At 47.3% G+C, this 19,597-nt stretch overlaps 2 long non-coding RNA genes across 3 annotated transcripts in view, besides 6 other annotated features; one reads left to right on the top strand and one right to left on the bottom strand.

The window, feature by feature from the left end:
- Window positions 315-484: an enhancer, noted in NCBI's record as "active region_28391". NCBI's record gives its function as "activates an Ori minimal core promoter by ATAC-STARR-seq in GM12878 lymphoblastoid cells {active_cell/tissue: GM12878}" and the evidence as "EXISTENCE:reporter gene assay evidence [ECO:0000049][PMID:35858748]".
- Window positions 4,553-4,612: an enhancer, noted in NCBI's record as "active region_28390". NCBI's record gives its function as "activates an Ori minimal core promoter by ATAC-STARR-seq in GM12878 lymphoblastoid cells {active_cell/tissue: GM12878}" and the evidence as "EXISTENCE:reporter gene assay evidence [ECO:0000049][PMID:35858748]".
- LOC124902153 (uncharacterized) overlaps window positions 7,161-19,597 on the bottom strand; it is a 34,185-nt gene continuing 21,748 nt past the window's right edge. The window contains exons 2-3 of one of the 2 annotated variants that reach the window (XR_007061477.1): window positions 9,066-9,183; window positions 7,161-8,351 (exon numbers count right to left, since the gene is read on the bottom strand). This is a non-coding gene — a long non-coding RNA (uncharacterized LOC124902153). The remainder of the gene's footprint in view (window positions 8,352-9,065; window positions 9,184-19,597) is intronic. The other variant, XR_007061478.1, reaches the window with a different exon arrangement.
- Window positions 7,547-7,841: an enhancer, noted in NCBI's record as "tiled region #4136; K562 Activating DNase matched - State 4:PromP". NCBI's record gives its function as "activates a minimal TATA promoter and a strong SV40 promoter by Sharpr-MPRA in K562 cells {active_cell/tissue: K562}" and the evidence as "EXISTENCE:reporter gene assay evidence [ECO:0000049][PMID:27701403]".
- LINC01627 (long intergenic non-protein coding RNA 1627) lies at window positions 8,779-19,206 on the top strand. The gene is made up of 3 exons (XR_002956875.2): window positions 8,779-8,926; window positions 12,487-12,650; window positions 19,127-19,206. It is a non-coding gene; the product is annotated as a long intergenic non-protein coding RNA 1627 (long non-coding RNA).
- Window positions 12,356-12,405: an enhancer, noted in NCBI's record as "active region_28389". NCBI's record gives its function as "activates an Ori minimal core promoter by ATAC-STARR-seq in GM12878 lymphoblastoid cells {active_cell/tissue: GM12878}" and the evidence as "EXISTENCE:reporter gene assay evidence [ECO:0000049][PMID:35858748]".
- Window positions 12,416-12,685: an enhancer, noted in NCBI's record as "active region_28388". NCBI's record gives its function as "activates an Ori minimal core promoter by ATAC-STARR-seq in GM12878 lymphoblastoid cells {active_cell/tissue: GM12878}" and the evidence as "EXISTENCE:reporter gene assay evidence [ECO:0000049][PMID:35858748]".
- Window positions 17,587-18,087: an enhancer, noted in NCBI's record as "H3K4me1 hESC enhancer chr9:37385483-37385983 (GRCh37/hg19 assembly coordinates)". NCBI's record gives its function as "activates a minimal SCP1, AML or CMV promoter by ChIP-STARR-seq in naive H9 embryonic stem cells {active_cell/tissue: H9 hESC(naive)}" and the evidence as "EXISTENCE:reporter gene assay evidence [ECO:0000049][PMID:30033119]".

Here is a 19,597-nt window from a genome sequence, read left to right as displayed (position 1 = left end):
GAATTTTCGAGGGGCTGATTTAAGTAATAATAAATTCCAGTCTCCTGTTTAGCCAGCTCTACATGTATTAAACTCTTTCTATTGCAATTCCCCTGTCTTGATAAATCGGCTCTACCTGGGCAACGGGCTAGAACTTGTTGGGCTGTTACTAAGACAGTGTAAGATCAAGCTTCATTCTGGCCCACTCTCCCCATCTCACCCAGAAGAGGTGGCCTCCTAGGCTGCCCCTTCCTCTCTTGATCTGACTGGGATTTCCCCCCTGTTAGGGAGCTCTGGAAGAACCCCCAGTCCCAGGCCCCACCTGGCTCTGAGCTGGGTTTACAGGAAGCCCCCTGTGCACCCCTGTCCCATGAGGTCATGTGGAAAAACCCTGGGAAACTCTAACACCTGCTGCAGGTGCTGGCTGTTCCTTTTTTTTTTCTTTTTTTTCAAGCTGTAGAATTTCTCTGCCATGCAAAACTTGTTGATAATAATATAACAAACATTTCCATCTCTATTGCCCTGCTTAGGAAATAAATCTTACGGGGACACTGGAAGACTCTTGGGTGTCCCTTCCTGATCCTGTTCCCCACCTCTGTCACCAGGGGTAACCCAAACCTGAACTGCGTGTTTATCCATAAATGATAAGTGGTATTGCTTTGCATGGTTTTAAACTTTCAGTAGCGGTTTCTGTCTTTTATTCATTCATAAACTCACAAACATATACATATTGAGAACCTACTGTATGTGAGGCACCAACCTAAGCCCTGGGAACATCCGTAAACAACAGAGAGGATTACTGCTCTCATGGGACACACATTCTGGTGGGGTGAGCCAAACCATAAACAAAAGGTATGAAACTGAGATACATTATTAATATGTTACAACGTGAGAAGTACAGAGGGAAAAAATAAGGGAAGCTGGAGAGGCAGGGGTGGTGGAATATTGCAATTTTAAGTAGGATTGCAATTTTTTCCCCTTTCTTCTTTTTTGAGATGGGGTCTTGCTCTGTCCCGCAGGCTAGAGCGCAGTGGTGCAATCATAGCTTGCTGCAGCCTCAAATTCCTCAGGCTCAAGCAAACCTCCCATCTCAGCCTCCTGAGTGGCCAGGACTACAGGTGCACACCACCAAGCCTAGTTAATTTTTTTTTTTTTTTGAGACGGAGTCTCGCTCTGTTGCCCAGGCTGGGGTGCAGTGGTGTAATCTCCACTCACTGCAAGCTCCGACTCCCGGGTTCACGCCAGTCTCCTGCCTCAGCCTCCCGAGTAGCTGGGACTATAGGCGCCTGCCACCACGCCCAGCTAATTTTTTTGTTTTTTTTTTTTTTTTGGTAGAGATGGGGTTTCACCATTTTATCCAGGATGGTCTCGATCTCCTGACCTTGTGATCCTCCCGCCTTGGCCTCCCAAAGTGCTGGGATTACAGGCGTAAGCCACCGCGCCCGGCCAATTTTTTTTTTTTTTTTTTTTTTTTTAAGTAGAGACAAGGTCTTGTGATGTTGCTCAGGCTGGTCTTGAACTCCTGAGCTCAAGTGATCCTCTTGCCTCAGCCTTCCAAAGTGCTGGGATTACAGGTGTGAGCCACCATGGCTGGCTGTGTATGTCTTGTGTATGTCATGGCATCCTTATATGTCTTGTGTATTTACTCAATATTGTATATGTTTTGTATAACTGTGCCATCTTTATTCATTCCCCTGTCAATAAGTATTTATTATATCTTTCTCTTGTATTTGTCCTTATAAACAACGTTGCCATAGCATTCTTGTAAATGTCTTTTTTTTTTTTTTTTTTAAGTCAGTGTCTTGTTCTGTCACCCAGGCTGGAATACAGCAGCATGATCATAGTTACTGTAACTTCAAACTCTTGGGCTCATGTTATCCTTCCACCTCAGCCTCCTGAGTGCCAAGACTACAGGTGCATGCCTCTATGCCTGGCTCATTTTTAATTTTTTTTTGTAAAAACAGTGTCTTGTTATGTTGCCCAGGCTGGTCTCAAACTTCTTACCTCAAGTGATCGTTCTGCCTTGGCCTCCCAAAGCACTGGGATTACAGGCATCAATATCTTTTTGTGCATGCACGGGAGAGATGTTCTAGGGCATGTATCCTAATATAGAATTGTCGAGTCCAAAGTATCTTCAACCTAGCTTAGCTAGATGGTATCAATGGCTTCTGCAAAAATAAATAAAATAAAATAAAATAAAATAAAAAATGAGCCACGCATAGCGGCACACACCTGCTGGGTCAATAGGCATAAGTGTTTTCAAAAAAAAAATTAAAAAATTAGCCAGGACTGGTGGCACACACCTGTAGTCCTAGCTACCTGGGGGGCTGAGGTGGGAGAATCACTTGAGCCTAGGGGTTTGAGGCTGCAATGAGCTGGGATCACACCACTGCACTCTAGCCTGGGCGACGGAGTGAGACTCTGTCCTAAAAAAAAAGAAAGAAGAAAGTAATTTTAAAAATATTTTGTTTTCAAAAACCCAGAATTGAAGAACACAAGTATCTGGCATGAAGAAAATATCCTACAAGTTTGCAGAGAAAAAGTGGATTTCATACAAAGGATCATGGATCCGAATGGCACTGGATTCTTTAACAGCGTCAGTGGGAACCGGAACATGATGGAGGAATATGTTCAAAATTCTGAAAGAAAGAGTTTGTAGTTAAATTAGTGACGAAAATTAGTAAACCAAGCCAATGGTAAAAACGAGACAATTGGGCCGGGTAGAGTGGCTCGCACCTGTAATTCCAGCACTCTGGGAGGCTGAGGCTGTGGATCATCTGAGGTCAGGAGTTTGAGACCAGTGTGGCCAACATGGCAAAACCCCATCTCTACTGAAAGTACAAAAATTAGCTGGGCTTGGTGGCGCGTGCCTGTAGTCCCAGCTACTCAGGAGGCTGAGATAGGAGAATCACTTGAACTTGGGAGGTGGAGGCTTCAGTGAGCCAAGACTGTGCCATTAAACTCCCGTCTGGGGGACAGAGAGAGATTCTGTCTCAAAAAAAAAAAAAAAAAAAAGCAAGACAATTATTAACTCTGAAAATCTTGAAAACAGATTTGCAGTCAGAATAAAGCAAATAACGAATATTGATCTGATCAGAATGACAAATAACTATATTGGGAGGCTGTGGGGGGTGGGAATACATGTATTAATATGCGTTTTGTTCCAGGGTGGGGGGTATTGTGAGTGAGTGATTGATGAGAGCCAAATTCTCCCCTTCCATAATGAAAAATCACTATATAATGTATAAACCTGAAAAATCAAGAAGTAGCAATATAAGCATGGTATTTAGAGAAAATACACTAAATACTTAAAGGATTGAAATAGTATCTCTGAGGCTGTGTATGGTGGCTCATGCTTGCAATCCCAACAGTTTGGGAGGCCAAGGCAGGAGGACTGCTTGAGCCTAGGAGTTCAAGACCAGCTTGGGCAACACAGGGAGACCCCTGTCTAGGATAAATGATAAAAGTTAGCTGGGCATGGTGGCACATGCCTGTGGTTCCCACTACTCAGGAGGCTGAGAAGGGAAAATCACTTGTACCCTGGAGGTCGAAGCTACAGTGAGCCGAGATCATGCCACTGCACTCCAGCCTGGGAGACAGAGTGAGACCCTGTCTCAAAAAAGAAAAAAAAAAAAAAAGTATCTCTGGGACTGAAAAAGCAGAGCAGGGCCATGACTGGGGGAGTGGCTTCAGGGAATTGCTGATTTTTGTAACAAATCTTGTAGAATTTTTTGACCTTTGAAATCATGTGCATGTATAACTTGATACAAATTAAAGTTAAATTTAAAAGCTCCCCTGAGATTAGCAGCCTTGAACATATGTCTTTCACATCTCTTCATTTGTTTCCTTAGGATAAATTCCAGAGGTGGGACTGCTGGGTCAACAGGCATAAGTGTTTTCAAGACCGTATCACCCACAGTGGTAAACAGGGCACCCATCTTTCCCTTTCCAGAGGGTTAATAGCCTTTACTTGCCAGTCTTTGCAAACACCATTATCAATTTTCACATCTCTGCCAATCTGATGGTAAAACGTGGTATTACATGGTAGTTTTAATTTGTGCTTCTTTGACTACTAAATAGTTTTACATAGTTAACATATTTAACCATTTTTAGTTCTTCTTTTATTAATTTCCTGTTACTGTTATTTGTCCATTTTCTTCACCTTTTTCACTCTTGATTTGTAAGGGCTCTTTAAATAGCAAGCCTGCTCATTCTCTATCACACATTGCAAATATTTCCCCCACAGTGGGCCCTTCTCCTTTCAATGTTCTTTTTTGATATAAGGGATTTTTTTGTTTTTATATAGTTAGTCTATCACTTATGTTTTTGGCCTTGGGGTTATGCCCGGAAAGCCCTGGCTCATCCGTGGGCCTTTTACAAGCGCAGCATCTCCTACAGCTTCACCTACTATTCCTATCGAGTATTTCATCAACTCCAAGTTTTTCACATTTTTAATCTCTGAAACTGGGATGGTGCTCAGGTAGTAGTCACTGCCTGCTGCAAATCAGGATGTGCAGAAAACATCAGTGATTTGTCAACAAAAGTCCCAGAGACGACAGTGGGGTATTCTGCAAGAAATGCTGCAACGTCACCTGTTTCTTTTTCCTGCTGGGCACGGAAGGAGGTAACATTTCTCAGCCTCCCTTGCAGTTAGGAGTGGCCGCGTGACCAGGTTCTAGCCACTGGACTGTGGGTGGAGGTGATACAGGTGCCTTGCCCGGTTGGCCCATAAAACCTCCCACAAGATCCTCTACTGTCTTTCTTCCTGTTTGCCGTCAGAGGAGCTGGCAGTGGCTCTGGGGGATGGCACAAGCAGTGGAGGTCCCTGAATGGCCACATGGGAGGCAGCTGGCTAACCAGGGATTCTCACTGCTCTTTGTGTAAACAAGTAATTTACTTCCATTGTGTTCAGCCATTGAGGTTTGGAGTTATGTTCCTCACAGCAGCTAGCATTGCTGATACCTAACTGACACCCTTGTCTTCATTCTGACTCTAATCCAAACTCCTCTAGACGGGGTTTAGTGTTTTATCATTAGTATGATGTTGATTCTTGATTTTAGATAGATACACTTTATCTTGTGCTCTTTTAAAAATCAAGTCTTAGTATTGGAGTTATGCAAAGTGTGTAAAATTAATTGGAAAATTTTTAACTTTTTTCTAAGCTCTGGGAAAGGTTGCATAGCACAGAAATTAACTGTTGGGTGAAACTGACAAAATTCATCCTAAGAACTGTGTGTGTCCTTTTGTAAGAGCACTGCTTTAACAAGCTTTACTTTTTTTAAGACAGAGTCTTGCTCTGTCGCCCAAGCTGGAGTGCAGTGGTACCATCTCAGCTCACAGCAACCTCCACCCCCTTGGTTCAAGCAATTCTCATGCCTCAGCCTCTTGAGTAGCTGGGACTACAGGTACTCACCACCATGCCTGGCTAATTTATTTATTTATTTATTTATTTATTTATTTATTTATTTATTTATTTATTTAGTAGAGATGGGGTTTCACTATGTTGGCCAGGATGGTCTTGAACTCCTGACCTCAAGTGATCAGCCCGCCTTGGCCTCCCAAATTCCTGGGATTACAGGCATGAGCCACCATGCCCGGCCTACTTTCTTTTTCTTTTCAAACTAACTTTTGTTATAGACTAAATTGTGTTTCCCCAAAATTCATAGGTTGAAGCCCTAAACCCCAATGTGACTGTATATGGAAACAAGGTCTTTAAGGAGGTAATTAAGGTAAAATGAGGTCACAAGGGTGGGACCCTCACGCAATATGACTGATGTCCTTAAAAGAAGAAAGACACCAGGGACACGTGTGCACAGGGCAAAGGCCGTGGGAAGACATAGCAAGAAGGTGGCTGTCGGCAGGCCAAGGAGAGAGGCCTCAGAAGAACTAAGCCTGCCAGCATCTTGAACTTGGACTTCCAGACTCCAGAACTGTGAGAAAATAAATTTCTATTGTTTAAGCCACCCAGTCCAGTCTGTGGTATTTTGTTATGGTAGCCCTAGCAGGACAACTTTTATTTTATTCATTTTTCATTAAAAAAAGAAAATAGAAAAAGCCATCCATAATTCTACTACTCAGGAATAACCATTGGTCAAATTGTGGTAAATATCCTTGCAAATACCCACTGACATTTACATATTTACTCATGTAAGTGGGAGCCATTCTCTATATATACCAACTTGCAACCTGCTTTTTACAAAATTTAATTAATTATTATTATTATTTTTTAGAGACAAGGTCTTATTCTGTCACCCAGGCTGGAGTGCAGTAGTGCGATCACGGCTCACTGCAGCATAAGACTTCTGGGCTAAGTGATCCTCCTGCCTCAGTCTCCAGAGTAGCTGGGACTATAGACATGTGCCATTATACCTGGCTAATTTTTAAATATTTTGTAGATATCAAGTCTTGCTATGTTGCCCAGGCTGGTCTTGAACTCCTGGCCTCAAGTGATCCTCCCACCTTGGCCTCTCAAAGTGCTGGGATTACAGGTGTGTGCTACCACACCTGGCTACGCAATCTGCTTTTTTTTTTTTTGGAGACAGTCTAGCTCTGTCACCTAGGCTGGAGTGCGGTGGCACGATTTTGGCTCACTGCAACTTCCACCTCCCGGAATCAAGCGATTCTCCTGCCTCAGCCTCCCAAGTAGCTGGGATTACAGGCATGCACCCCGATGCCCAGCTAATTTTTTTGTATCTTTAGTAGAGACAGGGTTTCACCATGTTGGCCAGGCTGGTCTTGAACTCCTGACCTCGTGATCCACCTGCCTTGGCCTCCCAAAGTGCCGGGATTACAGGCGTGAGCCACCGTGCCCAGCCACAATCGGCTTTTTATACTTAATATCATAAATATTTCCCATGTGGCCAGGTGCAGTGGCTCACGCCTGTAATCCCAGCACTTTGGGAGACCAAGGCAGGTGGATTACCTGAGGTCGGGAATTTGCGACCAGCCTGGCCAACATGGTGAAATCCCGTCTCTACTAAAAATACAAAAAATTAGCAGTGAGCGGTGGCGAGTGCCTGTAATCCCAGCTATTTGGGAGGCTGAGGCAGGAGAATCTCTTGAACCCAGGAGGCAGAGGTTGCAGTGAACCGAGATCGTGTCATTGCACTCCAGCCTGGGCAACAAGAGCAAAATTTCATCTCAAAAAAAAAAAAAAAAAAATGAAGGTTAAGATGTAGATTTTTTGTTATGTGTATTTTACCACAATTAGAAAAAAATGCTCTGAGGTTTTGTAGTTACCGGGCTGGGGCACCACCTAGAGAACGGTGCCCACTGGGCATGGAGGGCATAGAGCCCTGACTCCAGAATTCCTGGTGTGCCCCCAGCTGCCCTAAGGGGTCCTGGCCCATGCCTTCTCTTTGGGCCTCACCTGTCAAATGCTAAGCAGATCCATGGAATGGAAGATGTCCACGCTTCCTCCTGGCCCTGATGAGCTAAGATGAGAATTAGAACAAAAGCGTGTGCTTTTAAAAAAGTAGATAGAGAATTAAAAATACAATCAAAAATCACACTCACTATTCCAAGATTAAAAACATTCTTTAGAAACTGGGCTTATTAGATGACATACTTCCTGCATTGTGTGGGAGGGGAGGGGGCCGGGTCACCGGCGCTCTCCATAGGGGGCAAGCAGGTGAAATGATTATGAAATATGTCAAGAAAATGGTCCTTTTTTCTCGCCAGGAGATAAGGAAAGGTAATTTGGTCTGTCAGTCGCGCACACAGAAGACGTCATGGTCAACTGCATTAATACTGAATACTTTGTCCAGAGTCACAGAGCTCAAAGAAATTACAGAATCTTTCTCCTGTGAATTCTGGCACTACTCTCAGCAGGCCTTTTCCCACCTGAATTCACAAGAGAGATTAATAATAAAAGGCAGGGCTGACGGTGGGACCAGAGCTGCTTTTCCTGGGACCCCCTCCTCCAGCCCACCGGTTCAGCCTCATCTCTTGCCACACCCTCCCCGGTCCGGCTTCAGCCCAACTCAATCCCAGCTGTCCTGCTCTCTCTTCTTCCTACGGGCTCCTCTCCCATAGACGCCAGTCAAAGCCCACCTGCCCAAGCCACCTCCTCTGGGACATCTCTCTCCAGTCCCGATCACCTCCCGTCTGACTGACGCTCCCTCTGCCCCCACGTGCTCACACTTCTTTTTGCAGTTGTTGTGAGGATTGTGTGTCCCTATCTCCCTTCCCCAAACACCCCAGACCTCCCCGAAGGACAGACTTGCCCAGCTGGCCTCTCCCACGGTGTCCAGCCCAGGGTCTGGCACTTCGCAGTGGAAGGGGTGAGTTCACGAGGCGTCTACAAGCTTTCTCTCTTCTGATCTAATAAAAGGGTATCTGTGGTAGATTCTTTCTTTTCTGTATTTTTTGACCTGGCAGGGGTGAAGATGTGTGGTTAGGGTTGGGAGTAGACATTGGGATGCTCTCTAAACCCGTTGTGAAGCTGTTAAATTGCAAGAAACCATCTTCCTCTCCACCCTCCATTCCCACCCTATTCCCACAGGGTGAACAGGAAGCGCCCACTCAGAGCCCTTATTCCAAAGGTGGAAAAACCTCTTCCCTTTGCTGCTTTTGGGGACTCATCAGTCTCTGGAACAATTAAACCTCTTTCAATGCAGTTATATTCCCTCATGTAATAAGTACTGCATTATTTTTAGACTGTTTTACCCAATTAATTTTATTATCAGTTAATTATGTATTACCACCTTAAGAAAATGAATATTTGCCCAGTTGCTTAAGCTAAATCATTAAATATGTATGAATTCCTTTCTTTAAATGTACACCTGTTATCTTTTACAGATGCAGAAGACGTGTTTGGAGCCATCTGTGCCTCTGAAACAGACCCCCATACAAAAGTGCTGTCTTGGCCCTACGAGACAGCTCATGTGGGGCTGGGAGGCACCTGGGAAGTGAGGCCCACAAACATGTCAGAGATCTCGGCCTCAGCGTAAGTGGGAGGGCCACTGTCCTAAGCACCAGCTTGGCAGAATCTGGGGTGAGGGGAGGTGGGTAGAGCCCAGAGCCAAATGCATGAAGGTGCATGAATACAGAGCAGCCCCTGGAGGGTGATAGTTTAAGAAACAAACCTCGAGGCTGGGTGCAGTGGCTCACATCTGTAGCCCACAGATTTGGGGGCCAAGGTGGGAGGATCATTTGAGGCCAGAAGTTTGAGACCAAGCTGGGCAACATAGTGAGACCCTGTCTCTGCAAAACAAAACAAAAGAAACAAAATTTAGCGAGGCCTGATGGTGCACACCTGTAGTCCAAATTACTCAGGAGGCTGAGGTAGGAGGATCCCTTGAGCCCAGGAGGTAGAGCCTGCAGTGAGCCAAGATCATGCCACTGTACACTGCACTCCAGCTTGGGCAACAGAGTGAGATCCTATCTCAATAAAAAAAGAAAAGAAACAAATCTTGATTGAGGTGGGCATGGTGGCTAACATGTGTAACCCCAGCACTTTGGGAGGCCAAAGTGGGAGGATCTCTTGAGCCCAGGAGTTCAAGACCAGCCTGGGCAATAATGTAGTGAGACCCCCATCTCTAATTAAAAAAAATTAGTCAGGCATAGTGGCACACAACTGTAGTGCCAGCCACTTGGAAGGCTGAGGTGGGAGGATCTCCTGAGCTCAGGAGATTGAGGCTGCAGTGACCTATGATTGTGCCACTGCACTCTGAACTCAGCAACAGAGCAAGACCCTGTCTCAAACAAAATAAAACAAAAAAGAAACTCCTCCTGCTGCCTCTGGGTGATTGGGCGCAAAGCTCCACAGAGGTCAGCACGTCCGGTCCCTATGGGACCCAGACTCACTGTGTGTGACCTGGGGCCAGTCAGCAGACTTAAGCAGCCTCAGGCCCCTGGCCTGCCAAAATATTGAGATTACAGGCATAAGCCACAGTGCTCAGCTGAGAATTTTCTTTTCTTTTCTTTCTTTTTATTTTTGAGACAGGGTCTCTGTCTGTTGCCCAGGCTGGAGTGCAGTGGTGTGATCACGGCTCACTGCAACTTCCACCTCCTGGGCTCAAGGCGTCTTCTCACCTCAGCCTCTCGAGTAGCTGGGGCCGCAGGTGTGTGCCACTATGACCAACTAATTTTTTAATTTTTATTTTATTTTTAGTAGAGACAGGGTCTCCCTATGTTGCCAGTATGGTCTCAAATTCCTGAGCTCAGGTGATCCTCCCACACTGGCCTCCCAAAGTGTTGGGATTACAGGTGTGAGCCACCCACTCAGGTGAGAATTTTCTTAATAACAAATTAGATGAGACATCCCAATTGTTTGTTGTAGTGAGATTTGATTATAATTCACTCAATAAACACCTAAGCACTTTCTTGGTTGGGTACGGGGGAAACAGTGATAAATCAGATTTAGTCTCTACCCCAAGGATCTCCCACTCTGATGGGGAGACAAGCATGTGTGTAAGAATATAAATTGAATATTCAATTTATATTCTTATATTCAATTTATATTATCATAAATACACAGAGGGACTTGGGCCACAGTGTATATTTTTACAAGATTCCTGGAAGCATAGATTAGGGAGTGACTGGTTCTGTATAGGGAAATCAAGGAAGGCTTCTGAGAGGAGATGATGACTGAACAATTTACTTCATTCATCTGAAAAGACTGAGTACTGTGTAAGCGAAGGGGTGTCACTGTATATGGCAGCCCTGTTGAGTGGGCCTTAAAGGACTCTTGGTTGCAAGTGAGAGATACCTAACTCATTGTAGCTTAGGCAACCAAGGAATTCATTGGCTCCTGAAGTGTGGAAGTCTGAGGGGAAGCAGGCATAGCTGGATGCAGGGGCTCAAGCAGCCTTGTCAGTTCTCTCTCTCTCTCTCTCCCCCCGCCTCTCCCCACCCCCCCCATCTCTTGCCTCTCTGCTTCGCTTTCTTCTATGAGTTAGGAAAGATGGTGGTGGGCAGACAGATAGAGAACGTCCCAGCAAGACAGCTCTATCCAGGGGAGTCCTCCTTTCACCCAGGGACTAAAGTAACAATCCCAGAAAAGAATTCTTATTGGCTTCTTGAGTCACATGCCTGCCTCTGAACCAATCACGTGCCGAGGGGTGGGGCAGAGTGCTCCTCAGAGGGCCTGGGTTGGAGGAAGAAGCCACCAGGATTAACAGCCTCATGCTGTGGGAGGAGTGGTTCTCCCAAGGACGCTTGCAAACAAAATCATACATCCACTACAAAGGGCGGGAAAGACCTCTCCAGGCGACTCGGAAGGAGGTCTGTAACCCAAACATTGCCGAAAATGCTACTCCCAGGGTCTCTGCCATGCAGGATGCCATTATGACCAGTGACCCCTAAGCTACTGGGCAACCCTGCCCATGTCCAGCTGTGAGGACTGTTGACCTCTGAACTCAGCTGGGGAAGAGAAAAGAGGCACCCCCTTCCCACCTCTTCTCTAGGCTGTTAGAGCTCAAAGGGTGCTTGGAGTCCACCCATTTGTTCCATGGAGCTCTTTAAAAATAACAGCAAGAGCTCATGAACTAGAATGCACAAATTTTCTTTTGAAACCTCCTTTGCTCAGCCACAGACCATGGGAATTAAATTTGTGTAGTGCATTTAACAGACAATGAACATTGAGCGAGGTCACAAATACATGTTGGGATTACAAGACAAGACACCGAACAGAGACCAGCCATCATCCTCAGCCTTGTTATGATAGCTGCCTCATGTGCTGCCCGTGCCTGGATTCCCGAGTCTGACATCGCCCTCGTAGGTGCCGGACGGGCAGCCTCTCACGCCGTGACCCCTGCTCCTAGCACACCATTTCTAAAAGGTGGATCACCGCCGAGCAGTTAGAATGATATGGAACTGCTTTGTCTTTTTCTTATGCATTTAAAAATACTTTCAGGCCAGGCGTGGTTGCTCACGCCTATAATCCTAACAGTTTGGGAGGCCAAGGCAGAAGGATCGCTTGGGCCAAGTAGTTCAAGACTGGGCAACATGGTGAAACCCCATCTCTACAAATACAGAAAGAATAAAAAAAAATTAGCCAGGTATAGTAGTGCTTGCCTATAGCCCCAGCTACTTGGAAGGCTGAGGTGGAAGGATTGCTTGAGCCCAGGGAGGTCAAGGCTGCAGTGAGCCATGATTGCACCACTGCACTCCAGCCTGGGTGACACAGTGAGACCCTGTCTCAAAATAAATAGGCCAGGCACGAGGGCTCTCACCTGTAATCCCAGCACTTTGGGAGGCCAAGGTGGGAGAATCATTTGAGGTCAGGAATTCAAGACCAGCCTGGTTAACACAGTGCAATCCCATCTCCACTAAAAATACAAAAAATTAGCCAGGTGTGGTGGCACATGCCTGTAATCCCAGTTACTTGGGAGGCTGAGGCATGAGAATCACTTGAACCTGAGAGGCAGAGGTTGCAGTGAGCTGAGATCTCACCACTGCACTCCATCCTGGGCGACAGAGCAAGACTCTGTCTCAATCAATCAGTCAATCAATCAATAAAAATACTTTCAAGAAGGTGGTCACTGGCATCTTTTTGGCTTTTAGACCAGAGTGACATCATTTGAGAAAGACTGTTCTAGTCCAACCCTGCAGTTTTATAGATGGAGAAACTGAAGCCCAGAGACGGAAAGTGATACTGAAAGTGATTTCAACAGCTGGACTCAGAGTTGGTCTGAGACTCCTGGTCTGACACCTTTGAATTCGGTCAGGTGAGGAACTCGGGAAGGTCTGCAGGTGGCGCTGCTTCTAAAGGGCCTTCGGGACACTTGGGCTCAATTTTCTCACTTAACCTTGGGTTTCTGATTGAGAGTGGGAAACGCTGCTTTTCCTGATCTCAAAGGCGAAGGTTCCACCAAAGTTGTTCACACAAGTGTTATAAGAGAAAAATTTTAAACAAATTAAAATGTGGTACATCTTATTTAATGGTAATCTATGAAATGTACATCTATGAAAAACAGTATTGCTACCAAAAATGGCAGGTATGAAAATTAGGGATTACGGTAGATTAAGAGCAGTGATTGACACTACGATTACTGGCTTCCATGTATGCATGCCCTTGACCCTGAAATTTGTAGTCCCTCCCACTCTGACTCTGGGCCGGTCTTGCGACTTGCTTTGACCAGTAGAATGTGATGGAGGGTGAGACACTGTGTGGCCTGGTCACCCCAGTTGCCCAGGCCATGACCAGTCAGCCAAGACATGTGAACAGTGCCAGCTTAGACCAACCAGGGGACCCAGCAACTGATCACAGATGCATAAACAAGACTAGCTGAGCCAGGCCCAGATCAGTAGAACTGTTCCCCTGACCATAGACTCTTGGGCAATAATAAATCTTGTATTTTTTTAATTTTTAATTAATTAATTAATTTTTTGAGATGGAGACTGCTCTGTTGCCCAGGCTGGAGTGCAGTGGCTCAAACTCAGCTCACTGCAACCTCTGCCTCCCAGGTTCAAGCGATTCTCCTGCCTCAGCCTCCTGAGTAGCTGGGATTACAGGCATGTGCCACCATGCCCGGCTAATTTTTTTGTATTTTTAATAGAGACAGGGTTTCACCATGTTGTCCAGGCTGGACTCGAACTCCTGACCTCAAGTGATCTGCCCGCCTCGGCCTCCCAAAGTGCTGGGATTACAGGCGTGAACCACCGCACCCGGCCAAATCTTGTTATTTTAACCCGTTGAATGTTGAGTGTTAGATCGTTACATAGCAATAGCTGCTGGATATGGAGGTACTATTGAGCCTGGAGAGGGAAGCACGTGGAGACAGCAGGGCAGACGTGTCCATGAGCAGCATGACCTCCACCATGCGCCACGGAGGGGAGATGCGCAGCAGTAGCCCGTGCCCCTCATACCAGGGAAAATTCTGGAGGGAAACACACCGAATAGCTCAGGGATGGTATTAAGGGATGAATGGGGTAATTATGTTTTTCCTTTTTCTCTTCTCCAAATTTCCTGTGATATTCTTTTTTTTGTCTGTTTTTTGGTTTGAGGTTTTTTTTTTGTTTTTTGTTTTTTGTTTTTTTTTTGAGACAGGGTCTCACTCTGTCGCCCAGGTTGGAGTGCAGCAGCGTGATCATGGCTCATCACAGCTTCGATTTCCTGGGCTTAAGTGATTCTCTAAGTCTTAAGTGAGGGCTTAAGTGAGGCTAAGTCTCAGCCTCCTGAGTAGCTGGGACTGCAGGTGCCTGCTACCATGCCTGGCTACTTTTTGTATTTTTAGTAGAGATGGGGTTTTGCCGTGTTGGCCAGGATGGTCTCGAACTCCTGACCTCAAGTGATTCGCCCACCTCAGCCTCCCAAAGTGCTGGGATTACAAGTGTGAGCCTCCGCACCCGCCCTTGGAAATAATCACTTCTAACCTGTGAGTTTCTGAATGGGGAGAGTGAGGATGAGAGTCCACATTTGGTGGCAAAGCCAGAACTAGAACTTACTTCTCCTGAGTTGGGTCTAATATTCCTCCTAGCGGATGCTAAGCCTTTCCAGCAAGGTTGAGGCTCTGGGCTGGGACTAGGGTGAGGCATGCTGCCATCAGGGTGAGAAGTTTCAGGAGGCACTTGCTCCCAGGGCCCAGCCTGCACTCAGCCAGGAGAGCTGGTGCCTCCCAGCCTGCTGTGGGCAGAGCCCGTGAGTGGGTTTTGTGTGGCTGCCGGTGCTGCTGGAAGTACACTGTCCCAGTGTGAGAAGCACGGGGTGAAAATATGTGGACTCAGCACCTGGCACAGCTGCCTTAGGAGGCGTTGAGGAGTTGAAGAGCTGTGCAGAGTGGTCACCACTTGTTTTCCACTAAAGTGTGATTTTGTCTTATTTTCTTTCTTTTTTTTGAGTCGCAGTTTCACTCTGTCCCCCAGGCTGGAGTGCAATGGCCTGATCTCGGCTCACTGCAACCTCTGCCTCCAGGGTTCAAGCGATTCTCCTGCCTCAGCCTCCCAAGCAGCTGGGACTACAGGCATGCGTCACCATGCCTGGCTAATTTTTGTATTTTTAGTAGAGATGGAGTTTCACCATGTTGGCCAGGCTGGTCTCGAACTCCTGACCTCATGATCCACCCGCCTCGGCCTCCCAAAGTGCTGGGATTAGAGGCATGAGCCACCGCATCTGGCTGTCTTATTTTCTTTGTTGTTGGTGGTGATGTCCCTTCTCCCACCACCACCATCCCATGGGGAGGATTTAATAAAGGTAGAAATGTCTCAGGACAGTAAAATCAGGAACCTTCAGAAATGGTGAAGAGATGCAGTGTTAATCCCTTCAAGAACTGAGGTGAGGGCGGGGCGCGGTGACTCACACCTGTAATCCCAGCACTTTGGGAAGCTGAGGCAGGAGGATCATTGAGGTCAGGAGTTCAAGACCAGCCTGGCCAACACAGTGAAACCCTGTCTCTACTAAAAATACAAAAATTAGCTGGGTGTGGTGGTGTGCACCTGAAATCCCAGCTACTCTGGAGGCTGAGGCAGGAGAAAGGTGGAGGCTGCAGTGAGCTGAGATCCTGCCACTGCACTCCTGGGCAGCAGAGTGAGACTGTGTCTCAAAAACAAACAAACAAAAAAAAGAATTGAAGTTAGATACTTTTAAAGATTTTTGAATATCAAAGCAACTTTTGGTCTGATCCGGTAAACTGACTGAGCAAAGCAACAACTTTAAATCTGTGTCACCTCTTCAAGCGTGTCAAGTGCCTTCAGAGTTTCCTAGGAGAGTACTCCTGGTCACAGATTACTTTCGCCTGTTGGTAGGGTGATGCCCTGAGGAGAGGAGAGGGGCAGGAAGGCTGGGGGAAGTTGAGGGCCCGGCTGGAGAGGAGTGTGGGCAGGAGGGCCTCGCTGAAGAGGAGTGTGGGCAGGAGGTCCTGGGTTTCCTTCCAAGTGCCAGGTGAGCTTGCTCCTGACTCTGAGACCCCATTCCCTCTCCCCCTGGTGGGGTTCCTCAAGAGAAAATGCCACTGCACTTCTGTGAAGTGGGCAGTCAGGGCCCTGGGCACTGGAATGGGTGACGTGCCCAGAGCAGAGGGCTCAGCGGGGCTCCTGAGTTGGCATCAAGACTCAACAGAGGCCGGGCACGGGGGCTCACACCTGTAATCCCAGCATTTTGGGAGGCCAAGGTGGGCAGATTGCCTGAGTGCAGGAATTCAAGATCAGCATGGACAACATAGTGAGACCCCGTCTCTACGAAAAAAACCATAGCTGGGTGTGGTGGCACTCAACTGTGGTCTCAATTACTCAGGAGGCTGAGGTGGGAGGATTGCTTGAGCCCAGGCGTTCGAGGCTGCTGTGAGCTATGATCGCACCACTGCACTCTAGCCTGGGCAACAGAACTAGACCTTGTCTCAAAAAAAAAAAAAGAAAAAGAAAAAGAAAAAAAAGACTCAGCAGGGCTGTCCCCAGGGCAAAGCCAAGGGCCAGTGAGGACGTCATGGGAATGCAGCGTGATGAAAGAGAACGTTTTCTCTCAGAGCTGCTCGAGAAACATGGTGCAGCCACTGTGGGAAACCAGATGGCAGTTCCTCAAAAAATTAAATGTAGAACTGCCATATGGTCCAGTAGCTCCGCCTCTGCATACCCAAAATAATTGAAAGCAGTGGCCGGCGTGGCTCATCACTGTAATCCCAGCATTTTTGGGAGGCTGAGGTGGGGGGATCACTTAAAGCCAGGAGTTCGAGACAAGCCTGGGCAACACAGCAAGACCCTGTCTCTACAAGAAATAAAAAGATTAGCTGGGTGTGGTGGTGCCCACCTATAGTCCCAGCTATTCAGGAAGCTGAGGTGGGAAGATTGCTTGAGCCCGGGAGATTGAGGGTGCAGTGAGCTATGATCGCACCTTCTCCAACCTGGGTGATAGAGCGAGACCCTATCAAAAAAAACCCCAAAAAACAAAAACAAAAACAAAAACAAAAAAAAAAAGCAGGTTTTTTTTTTTTTCTAATACAGAGTCTCACTCTGTTGCCCAGGCTGGCATGCAGTGGCATGATCTTGGCTCACTGCAGCCTCCGCCTCCTGGATTCAAGCAATTTTCCTGCCTCAGCCTTCTGAGTAGCTGGGATTACAGGCGCCCGCCACCATGCCCAGCTAATTTTTGTATTTTTAGTAGAGATGGGGTTTCACCATGTTGGCCAGGCTGGTCTCAAACTCCTGACCTCAAGTGATCCGCCCGCCTCAGCCTCCCAGAGTGATGGGATTACAGGCGTGAGCCACATGCCCTGCTAAAGCGGGTCTTACATAGGCGCTTGTACACCAGTGTTCACAGCAGCATCACTCACAATAGCCACAAGGTGGAAGCCACCCAACTATCCATCCACGGCCAGATAAATGGATAAGCAAAATGTGGTGTGTACAAGCAATGGACTATTATTCAGCCTTAAAGAAAAATGGGAATCCGGACATATGCTGTCACAGGGATGAACCTTGAGGACATTATGTTAAGTGAAATAAGCCAGACACAAGGAAAAAAAAATACTGTGTGATTCCACTCACATGAGATGCTTACAGCAGTCCAGTCCAATTCATAGAGACAGAAATGGGGGTGGTGGTTGCCAGGCGTTCAGGGGAGAGGAGGAATGAGGGAATATTGTTTAATGGGTAAAGAGTATCAGTTTGGGAAAAAAGTTCTGGAAATGGATGGTGCTGATAGTTGTACAACAATGTGAATGTGCCTAACGCCACTGAACTGTACACTTAAAAATGATTAAAGTGGTAAAATGTAGGTTATGTATATTTTACCACAGGAAAAAAAAAAGCTGTTCAACAGTGACTTGGGCTGCCTTGGGAAGTAGTGACCTGTCCATTAGTGGAGGTGTGGAAGTGAGGCTTGGACACTTGCTGGACGCTGGGGAGGTACGCGAGGATGAGGGAGAAGAGCAGAGGGTCATCCTGTGATTTGGGTCAGGATGGGGATAACAAGAGTGGTTGACATTTTTTGAGCTCTTATTTGTGTGCTGTGCCCTGAGCTAAACAATTCACGTAGATGGTCTCTTTTTCCCCTGGAGCCACTGAGGCAGGGTCTGTGTTATCCCACAGACTGACAAGGCCACAGCCCTGGTGGGCATCAGTCATTGCCACCTGCCCAGATCCCCTTCCAAGAAGGACGTGCTGCCCAGCAGCTGGGCAGGCGGTCAGCATACGGCCTTAAGTGACCAGCCCTGTAGGACAGCCTCAGCTGCTGAGATCACCCAGCCTGAGGTCACACCCTTCCCAGGGCAGCCCACATCCAGCCACTGATCTGCATGGGGGTACAAAGGCCTGGCCGTCTCTGCATGAAACTCCACGTTCAGAACTTTTTTTTTTTTTTGAGACAAGGCCTTGCCCTGTCGCCTAGGCTGGAGTGCAGTGGTGCAATCTTGGCTCACTACAACCTCTGCCTCCCGGGTTCAAGTGATTCTTCCATCTCAGCCTCCCGAGTAGCTGGGATTACAGGTGCACACCACCATGCCAGGCTAATTTTTGTATTTTTTGGTAGAGGCGGAGTTTCACCATGTTGGCCAGGCTGGTCTCGAACTCCTGACCTCAAGTGATCCGCCTGCCTTGGCCTCCCAAAGTATTGGGATTACTACAGGCATCAGCCACCACACCCAGCCCACATTCAGAACTTTTGAAAGGACATTCGGGCTTCCAGGTGTCCCCTGAGGTTGGCCCCATTGTTGCTCAGCCCGCATGGCAGCTAGACTTTCCCATTTGCCCACTCCTGCCTCTACCCACCTTGCCCAGGTGCTGATGCCAAGAGTCCTCTTCCATAAACATCCATGTCAGGGGCTCGGGAGCCTCACCTGCAGCGTTTGTTTAGGCCACTCCTCTGAGTGACGGTGGAGCTGGGGCCAGGGGAGAGAGCCTGACCTGTCTTGGACAGAGAGAAGCTCTGCTAACCCTCAAGAGGGCCACTCAGGGCTTCTTGGGTGACCTTGGTCCCCAGTACTCAGCCAGTCTGAGGACCCAGAGCCTTGGAGACCAGGGGCGAGTGTGCCTTGGGCTTCTGTTATCCCCATTGCGCCTGCCTAATAGCAGAACCACACCACAATAACACTGGAGCTAAATTCTAATAGCTAGCCCCACCCGTTAATGGCCTCTTATACATTTAAATTGGGTGTGATCCTTTGGGAACTGTAATGTTATTCATGGAGATTGTGTCGCCTAATTTGAATACAGAAAACTGTACTTAAGAGATACGGCAGCTCAGATGGTTTCTTCTTTCCCTCCTCCTGTCCAGCTTCTCAGTTCGGCTTGGCTGAGGGTACACTGTGTGCCAGAGAAGCATAAGGGCCGCTGCCACCATTAAGTAGAGAAAAGAATGCGGAACAGCAGGGCATGGTGGCTCACACCTGTTATCCCAGCACCATGGGAGGCCCAGGTGAGGATCGCTTGAGTCCAGGAGGTCGACCAGCCTGGACAATGTAGTGGGACCCTGTCTCAAAAAAAAGGAAGGAAGGAAGGGAGGGAAGGAGGAAGGAAGGAAGGAGGGAAGGAAGGAAGGAAGGAAGGAAGGAAGGAAGGAAGGAAGGAAGGAAGGAAGGAAGGAAAGAAGGAAAAAATGCAGTGTGGAAGTCAATTGAAACCAACAAAAAGTCAGAATTCCACTGTGTGACTTCAGCAAATTACTTAGCCTCTCTGAGCCTCGGTTTTCTTGTCTATAAGTGACAAGAGTTTTAGTTCTCCTGCTGTGGGAGGACTGCATGTCAGT

This window comes from Homo sapiens, chromosome 9, assembly GCF_000001405.40.
Source record: "Homo sapiens chromosome 9, GRCh38.p14 Primary Assembly".
Lineage (NCBI taxonomy): Eukaryota > Metazoa > Chordata > Mammalia > Primates > Hominidae > Homo > Homo sapiens.
The sequence above is the reverse complement of the archived record's forward strand: the minus strand, read 5'-3'. Positions and strand labels throughout refer to the sequence as shown.